Source organism: Homo sapiens, chromosome 14 (genome assembly GCF_000001405.40).
Source record: "Homo sapiens chromosome 14, GRCh38.p14 Primary Assembly".
Lineage (NCBI taxonomy): Eukaryota > Metazoa > Chordata > Mammalia > Primates > Hominidae > Homo > Homo sapiens.
The window spans coordinates 30582929-30605163 of NC_000014.9; the positions used below are offsets into that span (position 1 = coordinate 30582929).

Below are 22235 nucleotides of genomic sequence, written 5' to 3' on the forward strand. Positions count from 1 at the left end.
ACCTTTTAACATGTGACATCTATTCTTGATTGCATGTATTATTCAAGGTAAATAATACTAGTTTCCATAACTGGTAAACCCTGACATCTTACTGGTTTAAAACAAGAGAAGTTTATTGCTTGGTCAGGTTACAGTCCAGTGTGCATGGTTTAAGGAAGATGGAGCAGTTAGGGAGTTTCTGCGGTATGCAATCATTTAGAGATGCAAGCACCCTTCATCTTGTAGGGATCTACTTCTTAGGGATCCTGTCTTTTCAGCTAGTGATTTTCAACTTGTTTCATTAGCATCTTAATAAAATTTTCTGTATAAATAAACATGTAACAGAAAAGATTAGTTATTATACTAACATTTGGTTCTATGTATATGTCATATCCTGTTAATTATTTTAATATACACTGTCTTAGTCCTCACTAAGGCATAGTTTGAGGTAGGTACTATTATCCTCATTTTTATGATGAGGAAATGGAGTCATAAAGCACTAGTGAAGTAAGCTAGTCATGGAAAGACAATACTGCATAATCTCCCTTATGTGTGGAATATAAAAAAGTCAAACTCATAGAAACGGTATAGTGCTGGTTACCAGCGGTTGGGAGGATTGGGAGATGTTGGTGAAGGGATACAAAATTTTATAATAGACTGGTGGAATAAGTTCAAGAGATCTGTTGTACAACATGGTGACTATAGTTGATAACAATGTATTGTGTACTTGAAAATTAGTAAATTTTAAGTATTCTCACCACAAGTGGTAAATATGTGAAGTAATGCATATGATAATTAGCTCCATTTAGCTGTTCCACAATATGTACATATATCAAAACATCGTGCTAAACATTGTAAGTATATACAGTTTTCTAAAAAAGGATTAGTTGAGTCTTAACTCAGGTCTCTCTGACTCTTCAAGTTGTATTTTTGTGTGTGTTGGGAGGGGTGGATAAAATAGGCATAAAATTCATACTTTAACTATTTTGAGATATACAGTTTGGTGGCATTTAGTACATTTACAATGTTGTGAAACCATCACCACTATCTAGTTCTAAAACATTTTAATCGCCCTCAAAGGAAACTCTGTACCTATTAAGTAGTCACCCCTCATTTTCCGTGTCCCCAGCCCCTGGTAACCACTAATCTGCTTTTTGTGTGTCCCTGTGGATTTACTTATGTTGGATAAAGTAATCCATAAGTAAATTGAGTAATATTGTGACCCTTTGTGTGTGTTTGACTTCTTTCACTTAACATAATATTTCTAGGTTTATTCATGCTGTAGCATGTATTACTACTTTCATCCTTTTTATTGCTGAATAATATTCCATCATATGGGCATACCATATTTTGTTTATCCACTTATCCATCCTTTGATGGACATTTGGCTTGTTTCTGCTTAGCTATTGTGAACAGTGCTGCTGTGAACATTAGTTTACAAGTATTTGTGTGAACATCTGTTTTCAGTTCTTTGGTATGTATATCCAGGAATAGAATTACTGTGTCATATGGTAACTCTTTGTTTAAATTTTGAAGAACTGCTGGACTATTTCCCAAAGCTCTACATCATTTTATATTTCTACCAGCAGTGTGTGATGGTTTTGATTTTTTCCAGTCCTTTGTCAATACTTGTTATTGTCAGACATTTTGATTACAGCTATCCTTGTGAGTGTGAAGTGGTATCTCACTGTTGTTATTATTTACATTTCTCTGTTGACTGCTGACCAGTGATATTAAGCATCTTTTAATGTGTTTAATGGCTCTTTGTATATCTTCTTTGGAGAAATGTCTATTCAAATCTAGTGCCTATTTTTAAATTGGATTGTTGGTGATTTTGTTGTTATCAGAGTTTTTTTAATGCATCCTGGCTACTAGACCTTTAGATGTGTAGAGTGTCTTTCACTCTCTTGATAGTGTCCTTTTTTTTTTTTTTTTTTTTGAGACGGAGTCTTGCTCTGTCGCCCAGGCTGGAGTGCAGTCACACAATCTTGGCTCACCACTGCAACCTCCACCTCCCAGGTTCAAGCAATTCTTCTTCCTCAGCCTCCCGAGTAGCTGGGATTACAGGCACACACCACCATGCCCAGCTAATTTTTGTATTTTTTTTTAGTAGAGATGGGGTTTCACCATGTTGGGCAGGCTGGTCTCGAACTCCTGACCTTGTGATCTGCCCGCCTGGGCCTCCCAAAGTGCTAGGATTATAGGCATGAGCCACTGTACCCAGACAATAGTGTCCTTTGAGTCACAAAAGTTTTACATTTTAATGAAGTCCAATTATCATTTTTTTCTTTTGTTACCTGTGCTTTTAGTATCATGTGAACTCTGAGAAGCCATTGCCAAATCCAAAGTCACACAGATTTACCCTTATTCTTTCTGCTAAGAATTTTATTGTTAGATCCTTGGCTGGTATTTAATTAATTTGTATATATGGTGTGAGGTAGGGGTTCACCTATGTTCTTTTGCATGTAAGGAGCTAATTGTCCCAGCAGTATTTGTTGATGAGACTATTCTTTCACCATTGAATGGTCTTGGCACTCTTGTTGAAAATCATTTGACCATAGATGTATATATTTATTTCTGGACTCTTCTTTTTCATTGATCTATATGTTTATCCTTATGTCACTACCACACTGTTTTGCTTACTGTAGTTTTGTTGTAAGTTTTTAATCTTCTCCCCCTTTTTTTTTTTGGTTAGTCTAGTTAAAGGTTTATCAGTTTTGTTGATCTTTAAAAAGAACCAACTTTTTTTTTTTACTCCCTCTATTGTTTTTCCATTCTCTATTTTGATTATATCTACTCTAATCTTTATTTTTTTGTTTCTTCTGCTAGCTTTGGGTTTAGTTTCTTCTTTTTTTCTAGTTCTTTAAATTGTAAAAGTAGGTTATTGATTTGGGATTTTCTTTTTTAACATAGGCTTGCATGAGCCTAAACATCAGCCAGAGGTGAGAGCTTAGGATTTCTTGGGTCATTTCTGAGTATGTGTACATCTCTGGGCATGCATGTGGACTTCTAGATTCTCCAGTTATTATGCAGAAGGTTTTCCAAATTTTTATTCCCTCATGTACCCTCTTTTCCCAGTTTCTTCTTTCCTATGCCTTTCAGTCTATCTGCTGCTTTCCCTATCTGTTATCCCTTGTCCTAGGCTGCTACAGCTAGTATATTTGTTTCAAATGTTTTTTGACAAACAGCAGAGGCTCCAGCCCTGAGAAAGTTCTGAGGCAGGTGAAAGAAAGGCAAGCATCTGAGCTCATCCCTCAGGGAGCCATCATACAGGTCAAAACAATCACATTTTTTAAAGAACAAGGTCCATTTTACCCCCTCTTGGACCAGTAATCTGCACCAGGAACACGGGCCACCCCAAGACCACTGCCCAGCTGGGCAGTGGGGAATGGTAGGTGGGTAAGTTAAGATGTTCTCATCAAAATTAGTAGTTTGTTTCTTCATTAAGCATTCTCCTAATTTTTGTAAGTTTTTATTTAGATTGTACAGCTTCTAAAAATTAATTCTAACAGTTTTTGGCAGTTTAATCAGAGTTTTGTAGTTCCCCAGTGTGTCATTTTCAGTGACGTTACTTCATAAATTGCCATTTTAACTACACAGTGAAATTCATCATTAAAGACTGGTGAAGAACATAAAGTTACATTAATGTTTCAGAAGTAGGTATTGGAAATTTTAAGTTACTGATATCAATATTATATGATTTGCTCTCAGAAAGAATTTAACACAGAAATTTAGAGAAGCACCAATTCCATAGGGTTTTTTTGAAATATTTAAATATATTTTTATATCTATTTACTTTTTCACTGTTAGCTTGTGTTTTCTGTCGAAAACATGATGACTGTCCTAATAAATACGGAGAAAAGAAAACTAAGGAGAAATGGAATCTCACTGTACATTACTACTGTTTGGTGAGTATAATTTATAATTAAATTCTAGAAATTTGGTGTTCTAAAGAAGATAGTAAGATTCTGACACTGATTTCTGAGAATTGGATAAGTCATTTAACTTCTCCAGATCTCATTTTGTCTATCTCTAAAAATAGACATTTTGTTTTTTGATATTGAATTCTAAGATTCTGAAGTTACTTAGTACATACAAAGACCTATCATTATTTCGTGTTTGTTTGTTTGTTTGTTTTTCTTTCTTTCTGTTTAAGGCCTAAGTGAAAAAAGGAAAAAATGATTAGGTCTATAAAGGAGGTATTTCTTTTACCACTTTCTTATTTCATTTGTTGCTAGTGATAAATCTGAGAAAAGATTTGTTTGAGGGTTCAGGGAGTGGAATAAAAGTATTTTATTTCACACAGAACCTGAAAAGAAACGTCTTGGCTAAAGGTGATAAATATTTTTGGAAAAGGAAACCAGTTACTTTATGTATCACTCAGAAGAAAGCAAACGAGTGATTTCATACTCAGAATTAGTCTCCCTTTGTTCCCCCTCCCCTCCACCAATTTCTCACCTCACTGAATTCATGCCTTAAGATATTAGTGGCACATTACCACCTTAGCATGCCAGGCTTGCATTAGTACATACAGTGTTTCTTGATACTATATAGTTATCTGCTGCTTAAAAAATTATTCTGAAATTTAGCAGATAAAACGTTTGTCATCTCACATAGTATCTGAGGGTCAGGAATTTGGCTGAGCTGGATAGTTCAGGCTCAGAGTCTCATGATATTATCATTGAGATGTCAGATTACAGCTGAAGACTTTACTAGGTTGCAGGATCCATTCACCTCTGATGGCTCTGTCATGTGGCTTTTGGCCTCAATTTCTCCTAGCTAGCGTCAGGAAACCTCAGCTCCTTACCTCCTGGGCCTCTTAGTAAATAAGGCTACTCGTGGCATGGCATCTGGCTTCTCCCAAAGCAAGTGATGAGAGAGACAGAGAGAGAGAAATCAAGATGGAACCATATGACCTAGTCATCACAGCCACACACTAATGTCACTTTTGCTTTATTCTGTTAGAAACAAATCATTAAGTCTAGTAGCCCACACTCAAGAGGAATTAAGCCCCACTTCTTGAAGTATCAACAAATTGTGGACATATTTTCAAATCTACCACCATCCATGTTAAAATTATTTCAGTGCTTCTTTGAGAAACCACCTGAAGTATTCCTTGGTCCTCTAAGACTACAGTCTTGTGCCTCCGTACCTCAAAGGTTAAATAGAGTAGTAGACTGGCCTGGGAGCTTATTTATAAGAGAACATGAAGTTGTCATTCCAAATATGTTTATAAGTTACAGACGATTATGTTTTGCAGTAAAAAGAAAATCTTTCCATTTTTGTAAGTTTATTTTACTTTTTTTTCAGTCAGGAAAGGATTATTTTACTTTTCTATAAAGTAAAAGGATTATTTTATTTTTTTCTATAAAAAGTAAAATAAAAAGTATTATTTTACTTTTTATGCAGTAGAATTAGGAGAGCCATTTTATGTGTCTGCAGGTTATGTTTTCATAACAAATTCTTAGTGTGTATCACTTGTTATCACTTGTTTTTCTTTACGATATACTGGTTAAAATTCTAATCACAAATTTGCTCTACATGGTGTTTTCAAATTATGTAATACATTTAAGTTGATCAGATCAAAATTTCTCTTATGTTCTGTCTTATTCAATGAATATAATACTTTAAAAAAAAAGTACTGACCCCAGACTTAACCCTTTTAATATTCTATTTCATTATGAACAGAAAAGTATAGTGATGTTACAAATGGCAATAGAATGCTAGAGCGGAAAGAGACTTAGATATAGTCTAATCCAGTGTTTTTATTTTCATGTTTAAGGTTTGAGACATTAATACTTGCCTAGGGTTCCAGAAGTTTCAGCAGAGCCTGGCTTGCAAGCCAGGATTTCTTATTCACATTCTACACTTTCTCTGATTCAGGCTTTCTTAACATGTATAAACAATGAAGCTTAAGTCAAATTTTTAAAAAGTCAAACATTTATTACTGTCACATTGGGGGTTAAGGAAACTTTCTAAAATCAAACATTTATGTTAACTAGGGTTCAATAGGTTTTCTTGTAAATAATGCCTTAATGATTCAGAATTCAGCTAGATTTAGAGTTAGCCTGAAATGTCACTGAATTAATCTGAATTGTCTCCATCTGTATTCACCACTCCTTTTTGTTAAGCTTAATTGTAGGTGTTCTTTCTTTCTTTTTTTCTTCCTCTAACCCACCTAACCACTCACTGCCTTCTTTCCTATCTTTTCTTTTTCTTTCTTTTTCTGTTACTTCCTGGAATACTTTTAGAAACTAATTAGGATATACAAACTGATAATATACAGTGCCATCTAAATCAAACAATGTAAGTAGCCTCTTACTTTGACCATGAAAAATAACTACTATAGATAACTACTTGAAATTTGAGCCATTTTATGTCTGTTTTTTATTAGACTGAATAGTATGGATATATATTTTTTTAATGCCCAACTAGTTTCTTAGAGTTTATTTTCTAATTGAGAATATATTCATAGTTGATGTCAAGTGGAATTTGGCAGAGAGGCAAAGAAGAAGAAGGAGTTTATGGTTTTCTAATAGAAGATATCAGGAAGGAAGTGAATAGAGCTTCTAAACTGGTAAGTAAATTATTTTACTATTAAGTAATGTCATAAATATTGTCAATACTTGGGAAGTCTTTTCTATCAGTTTCTGTACTAGAAATTTATGACTTTGATTATAGGTTTCAATGCATATTTTGTCATTTAAATATGGTAAGTTTTAGGAGGACAGTTTATATTTTTGCCCATTAAAGAAAGCTTAATTGACCCTGGATAATACATGTGACAATACTGACTTCACTTCCTTATCTTATTCCAACATGTCCATCAGAATTGACCATCAGAATTATGATCTGATGGTCAATCTTCTCTGACCATCAGAATTATGATCATAACTCCACTCTGCTGTTCTCTAAACCTTTGATCCTGAGTCAACCCAACCATATACTTTTTTATTCTTATACCTCAGTTTCTGAGATTGGAATGTTGGGTTGAGTTAGAAATTACACAGCTTTCCAGACTGGCAATTCATGATCTCCATATCTCCTGACCCTTCTCTAACATTGTGTGATTATATTCAGTACCCTTTTCTATTCTCTAGGATAGGCATTCTAAACTTTAACTCCTTGCTCATTCAGTTATCATTTGTGCATCTTCTATATAACAGCCACTATGCTGTATGCAGGGAAACGTCTCCATATTGTCTAAGTAAAAATAATGAGAAAGAATGAGAAGATTTGAAGTACAGGGAGTTCTGTTTAGAGAATGTGATACTGGCATTAATGATTTTCATGGGGGAGCATTTTGGGTGATGAAGGGATTCATCATTACACTGGAGGGGAAATGAAGGACACTGACACATTATAGTTGAAGAAGTCAAAGAAAGATTATCCCATAAATGCTGAAGTTGTTTAGACTTTGTTTTCCACAGATGCCAAAGTCTTGAGGTGGAGGAGTGACTAGGAAGTTAGCAGATAACAGAAGGGTAAATGTCATTAGGCTCAAAGGTCCAAATTTTTCAAAGTGTGAAAATCAAGTAGTGGCCTATAATATTCAACAGAGAACTAAAATAATGTTCTCTTTGTCCCCTTTCCTGCCCCTGTCCATGTCCCACCCCATGTCAAGTCTGGAAATTAAGGAGGATGGAAAAATAAGCAGCTTTATTCAAGAAGGTCTACAAGGGAAGCACATAAGAAACATTTATTCTTTTAGTTGAGGCAAAGAAGTGGAGGCAATTATTTTTGAAGATATCAAGAAGGTAGGAGAGTTAATGGTAAAAACAGAGGTTCTAGGGCACAAGGAAGAACCGTGGGAGAAAGGTGAGCATGAATCTAAGGACTACGTGAGATGTTAAACGTGAGATATTAGTATCATAATTCCTAAACTTCCTGGTGATAGTGAGCTTGTGGTAAAAGGTGGTCTCTAAAGGTCCCCTTATGGTTTGGAACTACAGATTGAATATCCCTTATCCAAAATGCTTGGAACCAGAATTTTAGATTTGAAATTTTTTTCAGATTTAGGAATATTTGCTTACCAGTTGAGCACCTCTAATCTGAAAATCCAAAACCCAAAATGTTCCAATGAGCATTTCCTTTGAGCATCATGTTGGCACTCAGAAAGTTTCCTATTTTGAAGCATTTTGGATTTTAGATTTTTGGATTAAGGGATATTCAACCTGTACTTATTTTCTTAAAACATCCGAATCCTCTCCAAGTATATTGTGAACCCTTGAAAAGAAGAGTCTCATTTGTGAACTCAAACTAGAATTCCTTGTTGTCAGTTCATTGGGAGAGTTTCGGGTTGGCAGGTATTCTCCAGTGACCTAGGTGGTGCTCAAAGGGGTCAGCAGTAACTCTGTAATCCCTGAATCAGTGACCATTTTAATTGCCGTCTTAAGGGTTCCAAGGTGTTTTAGGTACTGTTCTGTATTTTGCTAATGATTGATTCATTTAATAATTTTTCTATTTATGTACCACTGTTACATTTCAGTTAGCGGCACTGGTAGTATATTCATTTCCTAGGGCTGCCATAGCAAATTGGCTGCTTAAAACAAATTTATTCTCTCACCATTCTGGAGGCCAGAATTGTAAATCAAAGTGTCAAAAGGGTTCCTTCTAGAGGCACTAAGGGAGAATTGATTCCATGCTTCTCCCCTAGCTTCACATGGCTGCTGGCAACCTTTGGAGTACCTTGGCTTGTGGCAGCATAACTCCAATCTGTTTCTATCTTCACAGGCCTTTCTCTGTATATGCCTGTGTCTTAAATCTCCCTCTCCTTTCTCTTGTAAAGACCTCAGTTATTTGATTTAAGGACTACCCTAAATCCAGGATGATCTCAAGATCCTTAACTTAATTACATCTGCAAAGACCGTATTTCCAAGTAAGTTCACATTCACAGGTACTGGGAGTCGGGACCTGAGCATAACTTTTTGGAGACCACTCTAAATCCACTGTAGGTGTCTCAACACTTTTTCATTTGGTCAGAATAGAGTGATCTTAGCCTTTTTTACAAATTGGTTTATAGTATTTTCCTATTCTTCTTGGTGAGTGTTGCCTAATTTATGTGCTTTCTCTTGAGATTTCAATGAGGTGTTTATGTATATAGCTTTTATGTTTATAAACCCTTCAGTTTAAAATATTTTAGTAGGAAGGAAAAGGGGCTTCTCTGTCTTATCCACATGTTAGGCTAGAGATGTTTTCTTTATCGAAATTGTTATAGGAGTGAATCTTTGGTGTCTTTAGATTGTTTCTGGGTAGAACAGTTTTTCAGGAAATTTATTTAATATACCCTTACCACAGCTGTTACATGATGAAATAATTTTCAGATTCCCCACCAGGAGTATTTATTTATGTCTTGATCATATTATAATACTCAGATTTTTTATGTTGTGACCCCTATTTTCACATACTCTTCTAGAAATGCTGTGTTTGCAAGAAAAATGGTGCTTCAATTGGATGTGTTGCACCCCGATGTAAACGAAGTTATCATTTCCCATGTGGACTTCAGAGAGAATGTATTTTCCAGTTTACTGGCAATTTTGCGTGAGTTATTTAACTGTTAAATATGAAAGTTCAGTGTTAAAGAATAGTGGAAAATACATATCCCAATGATATAATACTACAATAAATTTTCTGTTTAGAGCATCAGAGTTTAGATATAACATTATATGTATTACCCTCCCGCCCACCCTTATGGGGTCATTTCTATGTGCCAAGTCTTGAGAATTACCATGTCTAGGATGGACCTAATGATTAGCTTTCATTTTCAATTTTCAGCTTTTGGATATAACATGAAATTGTTAATTTATCCATAATTCAGTGAAAATCTCCACCTTTACATAATTCTAGATTTCTGTGTCACTCTTTAGAATTATTGTAGACTTATTCTTCACAGGGCTGTATGCATTTCGAGTAAATCAAAGGCATGTAAATTTGATTGAGTACACAAAGTAAATATTATGCCCTAGGATACCCCTGAAAATATTTGCTTCCTGAGTACAACTTTAAACATCAAGGTTTTATGAATTTTGACTTTTGGTATCATAAGTATTCCATTTCTTTTAGTAGTTGTGTTTTTGACCTATTTAATGGATTGTTATCATGTAAGAAAACTACAGTTTAGAAAATACAAATGGAAATAAAGTGAATTGGGAATAGGTTATTAATTGCATTTTATGTGTTATATGACTAAACTATTTTTTAGGCGTAAGTTCCTGCCTCCCTTAATTTTATACGATTTTGAGCACAACGTATGCACCCATTTGTTGAATACAATAATGTATATACTGTATTGCTGACAATATTACACAGGATTCTCAACATAATTATTAGTTTCTGAAATTCTGTATAAGTAAGTCTCACTACCAGAAAAGTTCAGATTTCGAAGGTCCAGCTCTCTCCTTGGTCATAGATTGTGAGACTTAATTTTTAGTGCCAAGGCTCCAGTCTGTTGTAGGTGAATTATGAGACAGACACAAATGAATTTCATTTTATATATGTGAATTACAGTGTTTTCCAAGTTTTGCTTTGCAGTTCATGAGATTTTTTTAAAATAATTTACATTTTTAGGTCATTTTGTTGGGACCATCGACCTGTTCAAATAATTACATCTAATAATTATAGAGAGTCCTTACCATGCACCATTTGCTTGGAATTTATTGAGCCTATTCCAAGTTATAACATATTACGAAGTCCTTGTTGTAAGAACGCTTGGTTTCATAGAGACTGTTTACAGGTAAGATACATATTTTGTAAGCTTTCTCTGATTGATATAAAATTATGGCTTGCTGATTTAAATTTTAAATTAGAAAGAATTGACGTGTATATTACCTCTTACTACTTGTTACTTTTAAAACAGCTTTAAAGCACTTAATTTGAAGCAGATTTTACATACAAAATTCACCCTATTTAAGTATACAATTAACATTCAATAAATACTTCAGATGAAACTTTTTAATGTATATTTATACTTAAAGAATTTTGTTGTTTTTACCTAAGGATTTTGTTTGATTTCACAATGAATAAACTAGATTTTAATTCCTAAGTTTCATTTACATATTTATGCTGGAAAACCAGGATATTTGAAATGATAAGAAGCTTGATAGCAAGTTAAGATATTTAAACATTAGTAGGCTTTTCTTCCCAATGGTAAGCACTTTACCATAACTTCTTAACAGGGAGCTGATTACTGTCAATTAATTAAAAATATTGGTTCTTTGAGAGTCATCTTACGTATCAAACCTTATTACTACTTTTCAAGTAAATAGAATATGATAAGACATAACATTAGACAATTTAATAATTCTTTGATTCTGAAAATACTTGAAAACTTGAAAAAGATTCCAGTTATTAGTAACATCAAATATGTAATATGTACATGTGAAAGTGCCAGCTGATGAACTTAAGTTTAATACTGTTTTTTAAAGTTTATTATTGTTTATTAAAATGAAAGGTTATTATTACTAATTGTCCACAGACATATTTTTAAAAGTTAAAAGATGTAGGCCGGGTGTGGTGGCTCACGCCTGTAATCCCAGCACTTTGGGAGGCCGAGGAGGGTGGATCACGAGGTCAGGAGATCAAGACCATCCTGGCTAACACGGTGAAACCCCGTCTCTACTAAAAATACAAAAAAAAAATTAGCCGGGCATGGTGGCGGGTGCCTGTAGTCCCAGCTACTAGGGAGGCTGAGGCGGGAGAATGGCATGAACCCGGAAGACGGAGCTTGCACTGAGCCAAGATGGCACCACTGCATTCCAGCCTGGGCCACAGAGCGAGACTCCATCTCAAAAAAAAAAAGATGTAAATTCTCTTATTTCAATAAAGTCTTAAAAATACTAACAGTACTAAAAGTAGTAAAGTTTGACTGATACCTTTTTTTTTTTTTGTATGGACCTTGAACTTTTATACTTAGGATTATTCAGTTAAAAGTGCAGGATGAAGGCAGGGCACAGTGGCTCATGCCTGTAATCCCAGCATTCTGGGAGGCCGAGGAGGGCGGATCACCTGAGGTCAGGAGTTCGAGACCAGCATGGCCAACATGGTGAAACCCTTTCTCTACTAAAAATACAAAAAAAAAAAAAATTAGCTGGGCGTGGTGGTGCACACCTGTGATCCCAGCTACTTAGGAGGCGGAGGCAGGAGAATCGCTTGAACCCGGGAGGTAGAGGTTGCGGTATGCTGAGATAGCACCACTGCACTCCTGTCTGGGCGACAGAGCAAGATTCTGTCTTTAAAAAAAATGCAGGATGAAGCCTGTTTTGTTGGGGAAATATTAGAAATTCGGTTAATACTTGCAAAGAGGTGTTTATAAAAGGATCCTAGAGAGTGCAGTTAATAAACAACATTGTGAAGTGTTATCCTTACCTGTTCATATTATATGAGAATCTTTAAAAAGTAATTTGTTTTAATTAAGGGTTTGTATTTGGATGAATATAATTGCTGCCAAATGTGTCATCTTGTTAATTTTGTAGCAGTATGTTATTTTTCATAAGATTTTTCTCATTTATTTGTTAATAATTAAGCAAAGAAAGGTTCTCATACTTGACCTAGTATCATTAAGGCCTTTTGTGAACACTCTGAAAATACTGAGTTTTAATTTTGTCGTTAAAAAAGTAGAAATAATATTACTAACAAAAAAGACTAGGTCTACTTTATGCAAATATAACTGAAGATCACAGCCACATGGACACCTGTCTATGATGTAAGAAATATCACTAAGCAATTATTATTATACTCGATTAGAGCATACTAAGGATGGGGCTAATTCTTGAGTCACTCTCTCTAAAGGAGTTCCAATAACTTTTGTACTCTGGTATCGGTCTTAACTGAAATAACATATGGAGTCTTATCCAATCTAGATAGCTGTATGTGGTTAAACAAATGTCATTATTTGTAACCACTACAAATAATATACATTGGGATTTTGGGAGAAGAGACTAGAGATTGCTATCAAAGAAACTGGTAAAAACTTTCCACTCTGTGTCTACAGAATTGTCACTATTTTTGTTCAGCTTGGATTTTTCCATCATTGCTCTAGTCTTGTTGGTATCTTCCATGTGTCTTATCCTGTTTTTTCTCCTCTATACCAGATACTTCCTTTTATCGTATACCATATTTAGTTAAAGATCTTGGCATCTGTCTGCAATTGCTCAAATATCCTTTAGGTTCAGAGATTTCAATAACCTGTTGTTTCCCTCCCTTATATGGGTGGGTGGGTGGGTGGGTGTGCGTGTGTGTGTGTGTGTGTGTGTGTGTGTGTCACTTGCTAATTGTCTGAACCTGGAATCCTCTTTATTAGCTTCTCTCTTCACCATCCGTAAATCATTCCCCAAGTGTAATCAAGTCTACTTAGTATATTCTGTGTATCCTTTTTATTGTAATCCTACTCTCACTGCTTTAATTTCAGACACTCTTTTTGGTAGGAGACCACTAGTTGGTCTTTCTCTAGGGCCTTAGTCCCTATCAATTTATTCTTCATACTACTGTCTTTAACTTACCTACCTAGCCTCTACTTAGTTCAGTTTGGCAAGAATGTAATCCTTAACTATATTATTAATTGTATTTTCCTAATTACACATTCTCTCTCTTGCCGGGGAAACTTCATATATATTATTCCCCATCCTTGGAATGTCTTTTGTCCTATTTTCCTGGCAAACCTCTATTTCTTCTTCTAAACTTAGCTTTTGCTTTACTAACCCTCTGACATAATTATCAGTATAGACTTAGGTACTCCTTCTTGTTTCTTTCATGTGTATACTTAAAATACTCACATACTTTTACACAGTATTGTAGTTTTATACCTGTATACCTACTCACTAGAATTCCTTGAAGTCGAAGCTGTCATGTTTTTTGGTACATAATACCAAATGTTGTTTGTATTTTTGGTACATAGCATGGTGTTTGGCATCTATAAAGCAGGAGTTAACTATCTGTTAAATAAATGCATGCTACTAGTTTTTACTGGGGACTGGCTCTTCTTTCCAGTAGGCTTACAGTTTCCTGTTTCCTTCTGAGTACCCTCTGTCTGGTGCTTCTGTATCTGTATTTGCTATAGCAATGAGGATAGGTTTTATACTTCTCCCGTTTTGGGAAGAAAGCTGTCTTAGAGATTGAGTTAAAAACAGAACCAGTGATGATTTTTATGTAACATTTAAACCCCATTTCTAGATGAGGTAACTCAGGAGTTTCATTTTTTTCTCACATTTTAAAGGGCAACACAACATTTAGTAACATTACACAGTAAGTAAAATGACATTGCACAATAAGATTGAAAAAAATATATGGGTGATGTAAAGCTAAGTATTAATTAGCTTTTTTTTTAACCATTGGAAAAAAGAATTATAGATTTTAGCAGTGGGATAACTTAGTTTATAAGGACAAAGTTTGAGAACCCACTAGCATAGAAAATGTTTTCATAATATATTGTTAAAAATAGCACATGTTCTGTTACATAATATATCACCTGATAACAGATTTAAATCATTAACAGTAGACTTTTTATTTTCCACTGTAGGTTCAAGCAATAAATGCGGGAGTGTTTTTCTTTAGGTGTACAATATGCAATAATAGTGACATCTTTCAGAAAGAGATGTTGAGAATGGGAATTCATATTCCTGAAAAGTGAGTAACATTTAGCCTTATGATAAAAAAAAGATATTTTAAATGTAGGATTTAATAGCAATGGAAATGATCACTTATGTCTGATTCAGTGAGCATGGACAGGTAGCCATTTCAAATGGTGAAATGCAAAACCTTCTCCTCCCCCACATGGCCAGTTCTTGGAAAGCAGGGACTGTGTCATAAATGTCTCATTCATTGATTTATAATCTCTTTATAAGTAGCTCAGCTATGTCCAATTTTAATTGATTGACTTTGTACACTTATAATAGGCTTCAAAATGTATAAATTAAGAGAATCAAGATGTGATTTAAAATATGTAAGAATTTTTTTAATACTTAAACATGAAGAATCCAGAAATAATGATAGTGAACTTAAAATTAAAAATCGAAAGTGAAATATTTGGAAAAATGTGTTATAAAAAATTTCTTGTTAACTTTTCATTTAGCATGTGAAAATTCATTGAGACTAATTAACTGTATGATAAAATAACACTAATGGATTTATATCTTAAAGAGAATCCTGAAAAGGACAAGTTTTATTATTCTCCTAAGTATATAAAAGTTTTTATTTTAGGCCAGGCATGGTGGCTCACGCCTGTAATCCCTCCCCTCACTTTGGGAGGCCGAGGCGGGCAGATCACCCAAGGTCAGGAGTTCAAGACCAGCCTTGCCAACATGGCGAAACCCTGTCTCTACTAAAAAATACAAAAACCAGCCGGGCATGGTGGCAGGCCCCTGTAATCCCAGCTACTTGGGAGGCTGAGGCAGGGAGAATCGCTTGAACCCGGCAGGCGGAGGTTGCAGTGACCTGAGATTGCACCACTGTACTCCAGCCTGGGCGAAAGAGCAAGACTGCGTCTCAAGAACAAAAAAAGGTTTTTATTTTTAGATTCATTCCTGATCCTCTTATGTAACATTATTTATAGGTCAAAGCATATTTTATATCTTCTTTTATAGAGATGCTTCCTGGGAATTAGAGGAAAACGCTTATCAAGAGCTTCTGCAGCACTATGAGCGTTGTGATGTTCGAAGATGTCGTTGCAAAGAAGGGCGAGACTATAATGCACCTGATAGGTATTTCTGAAAGTTCAGTTGTGCTTAGTGGTTCCTTGTTTAAACCTTCTGCTGAGAAAGTAGATTTTATAGTTAGTGAAACGTAGTTTTTCTCTTAGGATGTTAGAAGTTTAAATTGAGATGAGGGATATTTTCTAATGCACATTTACGTCTGTTTACAGAGAAATTTTTGCAGTTAGTATAGTTGTAACCTATTTCTCTGTTGTCTTATCACGAGACTATTTTCTAGAGCCACACTGTCCTATCTGGTGGCCACTAGCCACATGTGGCTGTTGAGCACTTGAGATTTCCCTTTTCCAAATTGCAAGGGTGCTGTAAATACATACCAAAGACTTAGTTCACTAGGGCTGCCATTAACAAAATGCCACAGACTGGGTGGCTTAAAATAAATTTATTTTCTCATAATTTTAGAGGCTGGAAGTTTAAGATCAAGTTATTGACAGGTTTGGTTTTTTCTGAGGCCTCCCTCCTTGGCTTGCAGATGGCTGTGTTCTAGCTATGTCCTCACACGAGTTGTCCCTCTGTCGGTGTGTTGTCTACGTCCTAATCTCTTTTATTTTTATAAGAACACCAGTCATTTGGTTTAGGGCCCACCTATCTGACCTTATTTTACTGTAATTACCTCTTTTTTTTGTTTGTTTGTTTTGAGATGGAGTCTTGCTCTGTTGCCCAGACTGGAGTACAGTGGCATGATCTCAGCTCACTGCAACCTCTGCCTCCCGGGTTCAAGCAGTTCTCCTGCCTCAGCCTCCCGAGTAGTTGGGATTACAGGCGCATGCCACCATGCCTGGCTAATTTTTGTATTTTTTAGTAGAGATCGGGTTTCACCATGTTGGTCAGCCTGGTCTCAAATGCCTGACCTCGTGATCTGCCCGCCTCGGCCTCCCAAAGTGCTGGGATTACAGGCATGAGCCACTGCGCTCGGCCATAATTACCTCTTAAAAGGCCTTATCTCCATATATAGTCACCTTCTGATGTACTAGGACTTAGGATTTACTTCAACATATGAAGTGGGGAGAGACACATTTCAGCCCATAGTCATATTATTTTAATACGACTTAAAGAACTTACATGACCAAATAACTTAAAATTTGTTGTTAATAATTTTTATGTAGATTACATATTGAACAAAATTATAACATTTTGGAAATAAAAATATATGTTATTTAACTTTTTTATATTTTTTAATGTGGCTACTGGAAAATTTTAAATTACATATATGGTTTACATTGTATTTCTATTGGACAGCACTGTTCTAGAGGGTAATTTAACTAGATTCATCTAGCACTGTTCCTTTTGGACCACCATAAAAAGGGTTTGGCATTTGAAATTTATTGATTACTCTTTTGTAATGTCAGTGGATACGGCTCTTTTCTACAACAGTCATTTTGTGCATTTGAGGTACAGTGTACTGTGTTGCATAGTAGGAACTAAGAATATCTTCAGTTTTTAAGATGTAGGATAAGTAACAAATCCAGTTTACAAAATTTATATAGGAAATTTCAATAATTTGTTATCACTGTTATGTAGTCTTACTTAACATAGTAAGCTCAGTGTATAGAGCAGAATACTGGGAGCCTTGTTTCATGAAACAAGGTTGAGTCAGCTACTACTTAATTGTGAAGATTCAGCTGAGGTCTAGCCTGCTCTGGAAAGTTTCCTGTTAGCAGCTCTCCTCATTCCTGATTCCCTACTCTGGGCTAGGGGTTCCCTTCATTGTGCTTGTTACAATATAGTTGGCGTTATTTAAATTTAATGCTATTAAACCAAAAATTCTTAGAAGGCAGAGATCTCATTGAAGGTATCAAGTAACATGTATTCTTGCCTGTGTTACTTGATCTAGTGACCCTGATTATTCATTCGTTAACACCAATAATATCTCCCTCAAGAGTTTTGCTGAGGCACAGATGAAATAATGTATATAGAATTTTAAGAAGCAATACATTCATAATATTGATATTTTTCAAATTTATTTTAGGCTGTTCTTAACCTATATGTATTTCTTGTATACCATTGGTCTCTCAATCAGTAGCTACAACTCTTCTTTCCAGGACAAAGATATTGTCTATCTGAATGACTGCTTTGTAATCTCACGCCCTCTCATCCTAGTGAGAAGAAGGCAGTTTTAGTGAAAGGCAGCATGGTTAGTGCTTAAGAGCATGTCTGAAGCTAGATAAACTGAAATGGAATCCTCACTCTGAGACTTGGCTAGTGTGAACTTGAGTGGACAAGTTATTGACCCCTCTGTGCCTTGATTTCCTCTTTATAATGGAAGTGACAGTGGTTCTCTCTACCTTCTACAATTGTGAGGATTAAACTTTTCATATGAACACAGAGAGAACTGGACCTGGAGCATAATAAGCACTTAGGTTAGCTGTTTCTTCCTCCGCACTGTTGTCACTGGGCAGAGACACACACATACACAGGACAGAAATTAACATACGCACACCCACACAGAGGGATGATATGCCCCCACCTCTGGGGTAGGGATGATATCTAGTTACCTCTCTTGCCACTCACACACACGGGGAGCTAAATCTGTTTCTAAACAGAGAAGGCATAGTCATACCCAACAAAAAGGCTGGAGCCCTACACTACAGCCCACACTTGTAGTCATGGAGAAAATATGAATATGGACTGGCATACACCACATAACACAGTGGGGAAACATGGAGCTGGGAACAGATGACAGAGAATATAAATATGAGCCAGGTAGATCTGGATTCTGTTGAACTGCACAATACCTGAGGTGTTTGAGCAAGCTTATTTTAGGAAATATTCCTCACCTTGAAATTTACTGAATGTTTCTTCCATATCAGACACACTGACACAGCAATCTCCCTGTAAGCATAGTCATCTCTAAGTAGAAAGGAAAATTTATTTTCTCCCTCTTAGTCATATTTTGTCTGATGTTTATATTCTTTGTATGTGCATATACATACAAAATATTTGTTTATATTCTTTGTATGTGCATATGAGTGTGATAAGTTAGTTTTGGTTTTTACATTAGAGATATTTAGAGAAGCAGATAATCTTTTTCTTCCTTTAGTAAATCGATTGGGCGGGTGTGTGCGTGTTTGTGTGTAAGAAGGCAGGCCCTGTGGACATTGCTAGTGGTTGAAACTAGAATAATAACAAAATGTAAGTTCTGCTTTTCTTTGTGTCCTCAGCAAATGGGAAATAAAGCGCTGTCAGTGTTGTGGTTCCAGTGGCACACATTTAGCCTGCTCCTCATTACGGTCATGGGAGCAAAATTGGGAGTGTTTGGAATGTAGGGGTATTATCTACAATTCAGGTAATTTTTTTGTAATTTTGAATAAAGTTTTTATTCAAATGTATATGATTTAAAAGTTTTTACCTATATCTCTATTATGCTAACATGGAAATTTAAATCTGTAGGAGAGTTCCAAAAAGCCAAAAAACATGTATTACCCAATTCTAATAATGTGGGGATTACAGATTGTTTGTTGGAAGAGTCATCACCTAAATTACCCAGACAGTCACCTGGATCCCAGAGTAAAGATCTACTGAGGTATGTATTTTGAATTGGAGAAATACATAAAAATCTATTTGGAGAAAATTATGATAGGAAATGCCATATACATTTAGAATATTAGGTGATCATACAGTAGTCTAGAAGAATGTTTTTCAGCCTTCAGGACCCAACATTTGATCATGAAATCAATGCAACCAGCATTTTAAAGAAAATGAAATGGGATAGAATAGAATACAAAATACCAAACTGCATCATACGTGGGAAAAGTGTATCTATCCTACTGCATCATACGTGGGAAAAGTGTATCTATCCTAATTATTTTTTTGTGTACTGAGTAATGATGTAAAATATATTTTTTATTATAGATCACTTTCAAGATAGTTTGAAAAACACTGGTCTGGAAAATGTACTTAAAATGTTATTTGATTATAGAGTAAGACAGGAAAGTAAAATATCAAGCATACCGTGTCACCTTATTAAAAGGAAAGAATCCTATTTAATATAGAAATTTTTTTTTCTTTTTTCTTTTTTTTAGAAATAAAGTCTCGCTCTGTTACCCAGGCTGGAGTACAGTGGCATGATCATGGCTCACTGCAGCCCCGACCTCCTGGGCACAAGTGATCCTCCCACCTGAGCCTACCAAGTGGCTGGAACTACAGATGCATGCCACCATGCTTGGCTAATTTTTAAATTTTTGTAGAGATGGACATCTTGCTATGTTGCCCAGACTGGTCTTGAACTCCTGGTCTCAAGTAGTCCTCCCACCTTTGCCTCCCAAAATGTTGGGATTACAGGTGTGCGCCACTATGCCCTGCCATTTTTTGATGTTATAATCATTGTTTGCCTGTTTACTGTCAATGGCAGGAGTCTAAATGTCAGCTCTTCCCTTTAGAAAGTTTAAGGCATACATACTATTATCAAATTAATTTCTGTTCCCATGAGACAAAATAGGCCGGGCATCGTGGCTCACGCCTGTAATCCCAGCACTTTGGGAAACCTAGGCGGGCGGATCCCGAGGTCAAGAGATCGAGAACATCCTGGCCAATATGGTGAAACCCCGTCTCTATTAAAAATACAAAAATTAGCTGGGCATAGTGTTGTGCATCTGTAGTCCCAGCTACTTGGGAGGCTGAGGCAGGAGAATTGCTTGAACCCAGGAGGCGGAGGTTGCAGTCAGCCAAGGTCGCGCCACTGTACTCCAGCCTGGTGACAGAGCCGAGACTCTGTCTCAAAAAAAAAAAAAAAAGGTAGCAAAATAATAAGTTACTTTCAAAATCTTAAACATTTAAATAAGACTGGAATTACATCTTTATAATGTTGGGTATTTGTTCAGCTGTAGTTAAGATTTTTAAGTTTATATAGATTTGCAAAAGAGTTTTTAGAGCCTTGCTTTACCCAATAGGGAAGAAGTAGAAAATTAGTCGCTAAGCATGATGAAATACTTTCTTGTTAAAAATAATTTCAGGCTGGGCATGGTGACTCATACCTGTAATCCCAACAGTTTGGGAGGCTAAGGTGGGAGGATCATTTGAACCCTGGAGTTCGAAACCAGTCTGGGCAATATTACGAAACTCTGTCTCAACAAAAATATTTTGAGAAAATAGCCAGGTATGGTGGTGTGCACCTGTAGTCCTAGCTAGGCAAGAGGCTGAGGTGGGAGGATCATTTGAGCCCAGGAGTTCAAGCTGCAATGAGCTATGATCATGCCACTATACTCTCACCTGAGTGACACAGCAAGACCTTGTCTCTAAAAAGTTTCAAGTTTAAAACCTTAGAAGATAGTAAAGAGAATTTTTGTGAAAACATTTGATAACTGGATTTGCAGACAGGTAGAATATTAAGTACTCTTTCAAAATGTGAAGAATATCTGTTTTACTATGCCACTTGTGTTAGCTCTACTGAAAAATCTGTTACAAATATTGTTATAACACTTTTAGTATCAAAATAGATGTTCACATTATTTTAAAATAATTTTAATATTGAGATTTCCAAAGACGCTACACCAGGGAAGCTTGACTCCTTGCTCCTGCTTTAACATGCAGTCATATTTAGAAGAATAGCATCAGCATTCCCCTGATCCAGGCAGGAGCAAGGAATCAACCTGCTATAAAAAAGGTATGTTTCTGAAGAATTATCTTACTTCCAAAGGACTTTCGCTTTTATTCAACATGAGTTAATGAAGAGAGGATCATAAGAAAAAAGAAAAAGCAAAACCTGGCCTACACTAGGGCACTGTAACGTCTTGGGGTGGGACAGATTCATACTTGGTATGGAAAATGATCCATGGGCATTGCCCAAAACAAGATTATTTTTGAGAACATTAATTCCAGTTACAGATGGAGAAACTGAGGGAAGGAGTGATTGAGCTGGTTTATATCGTCACTTGGATTGTTAAAACAGATTGCTGGGCTTCATGCCGACAGGTTCTGATTCTATAGATGCGCTGTAGGGCTCAGTAATTTGCATTTCTAACAAGTTCTGGGGTAATGCTGCTGCTGCTGCTGCTGCTGGTCTGGGAGCACACTTTGTGACTTACTGATCTAGACTAAAAGGTACTATTTTAGGAATTGTGAATTCTGTTTATAATATTAGCTCTACTGTTAATTATGACTTTATGATTTAAAATATATTGTGTAATCTCTCAAAGACATTTTCTTATATAGTAAGGAGAGATTACATTTGCTTTTTTTAAAAAAGGACATAGTAAATGTGAAGTAAACTACAATTAAGAAAGTTAATTATAGCCATTAGCCAGGAAGGTGAGAGTTTGAGCTTGCTTCATTCATTCATTCATTCATTCATTCATTCATTCATTTATGAGACGGAGTTTCGCTCTTGTTGCCCAGGCTGGAGTGCAATGGCGTGATCTTGGCTCAACGCAACCTCTGCTTCCCGGGTTCAAGTGATTCTCCTGCCTCAGCCTCCTGAGTAGCTGGGATTACAGGCATACGCCACGACGCCCAGCTTATTTTGTATTTTCAGTAGAGACAGGGTTTCTCCCTGTGGGTCACACTGGTCTCGAACTCATGACCTCAGGTGATCCGCCTGCCTCTGCCTCCCAAAGTGCT

The 22235-nt window shown here is 35.9% G+C and overlaps 1 protein-coding gene across 10 annotated transcripts in view; it reads left to right on the forward strand.

Annotated features, from left to right (window-relative positions):
• Window positions 1-22235, forward strand: part of G2E3 (G2/M-phase specific E3 ubiquitin protein ligase) — a 60907-nt gene that overhangs the window by 23771 nt on the left and 14901 nt on the right. For 4 of the 10 annotated variants that reach the window (NM_017769.5, NM_001308097.2, XM_047431554.1 and 1 more), the window contains 8 exons: window positions 3790-3887; window positions 6455-6556; window positions 9395-9519; window positions 10546-10711; window positions 14492-14598; window positions 15555-15671; window positions 18842-18966; window positions 19071-19203. In NM_017769.5, the coding sequence (NP_060239.2) occupies window positions 3790-3887; window positions 6455-6556; window positions 9395-9519; window positions 10546-10711; window positions 14492-14598; window positions 15555-15671; window positions 18842-18966; window positions 19071-19203 (973 nt within the window). Of the gene's footprint in view, window positions 1-3789; window positions 3888-6454; window positions 6557-7603; window positions 7737-9394; window positions 9520-10545; window positions 10712-14491; window positions 14599-15441; window positions 15473-15554; window positions 15672-18841; window positions 18967-19070; window positions 19204-22235 lie in introns of those variants that run through there. The other 6 variants (XM_011536926.3, XM_047431552.1, XM_047431556.1 and 3 more) reach the window with 3 other exon arrangements.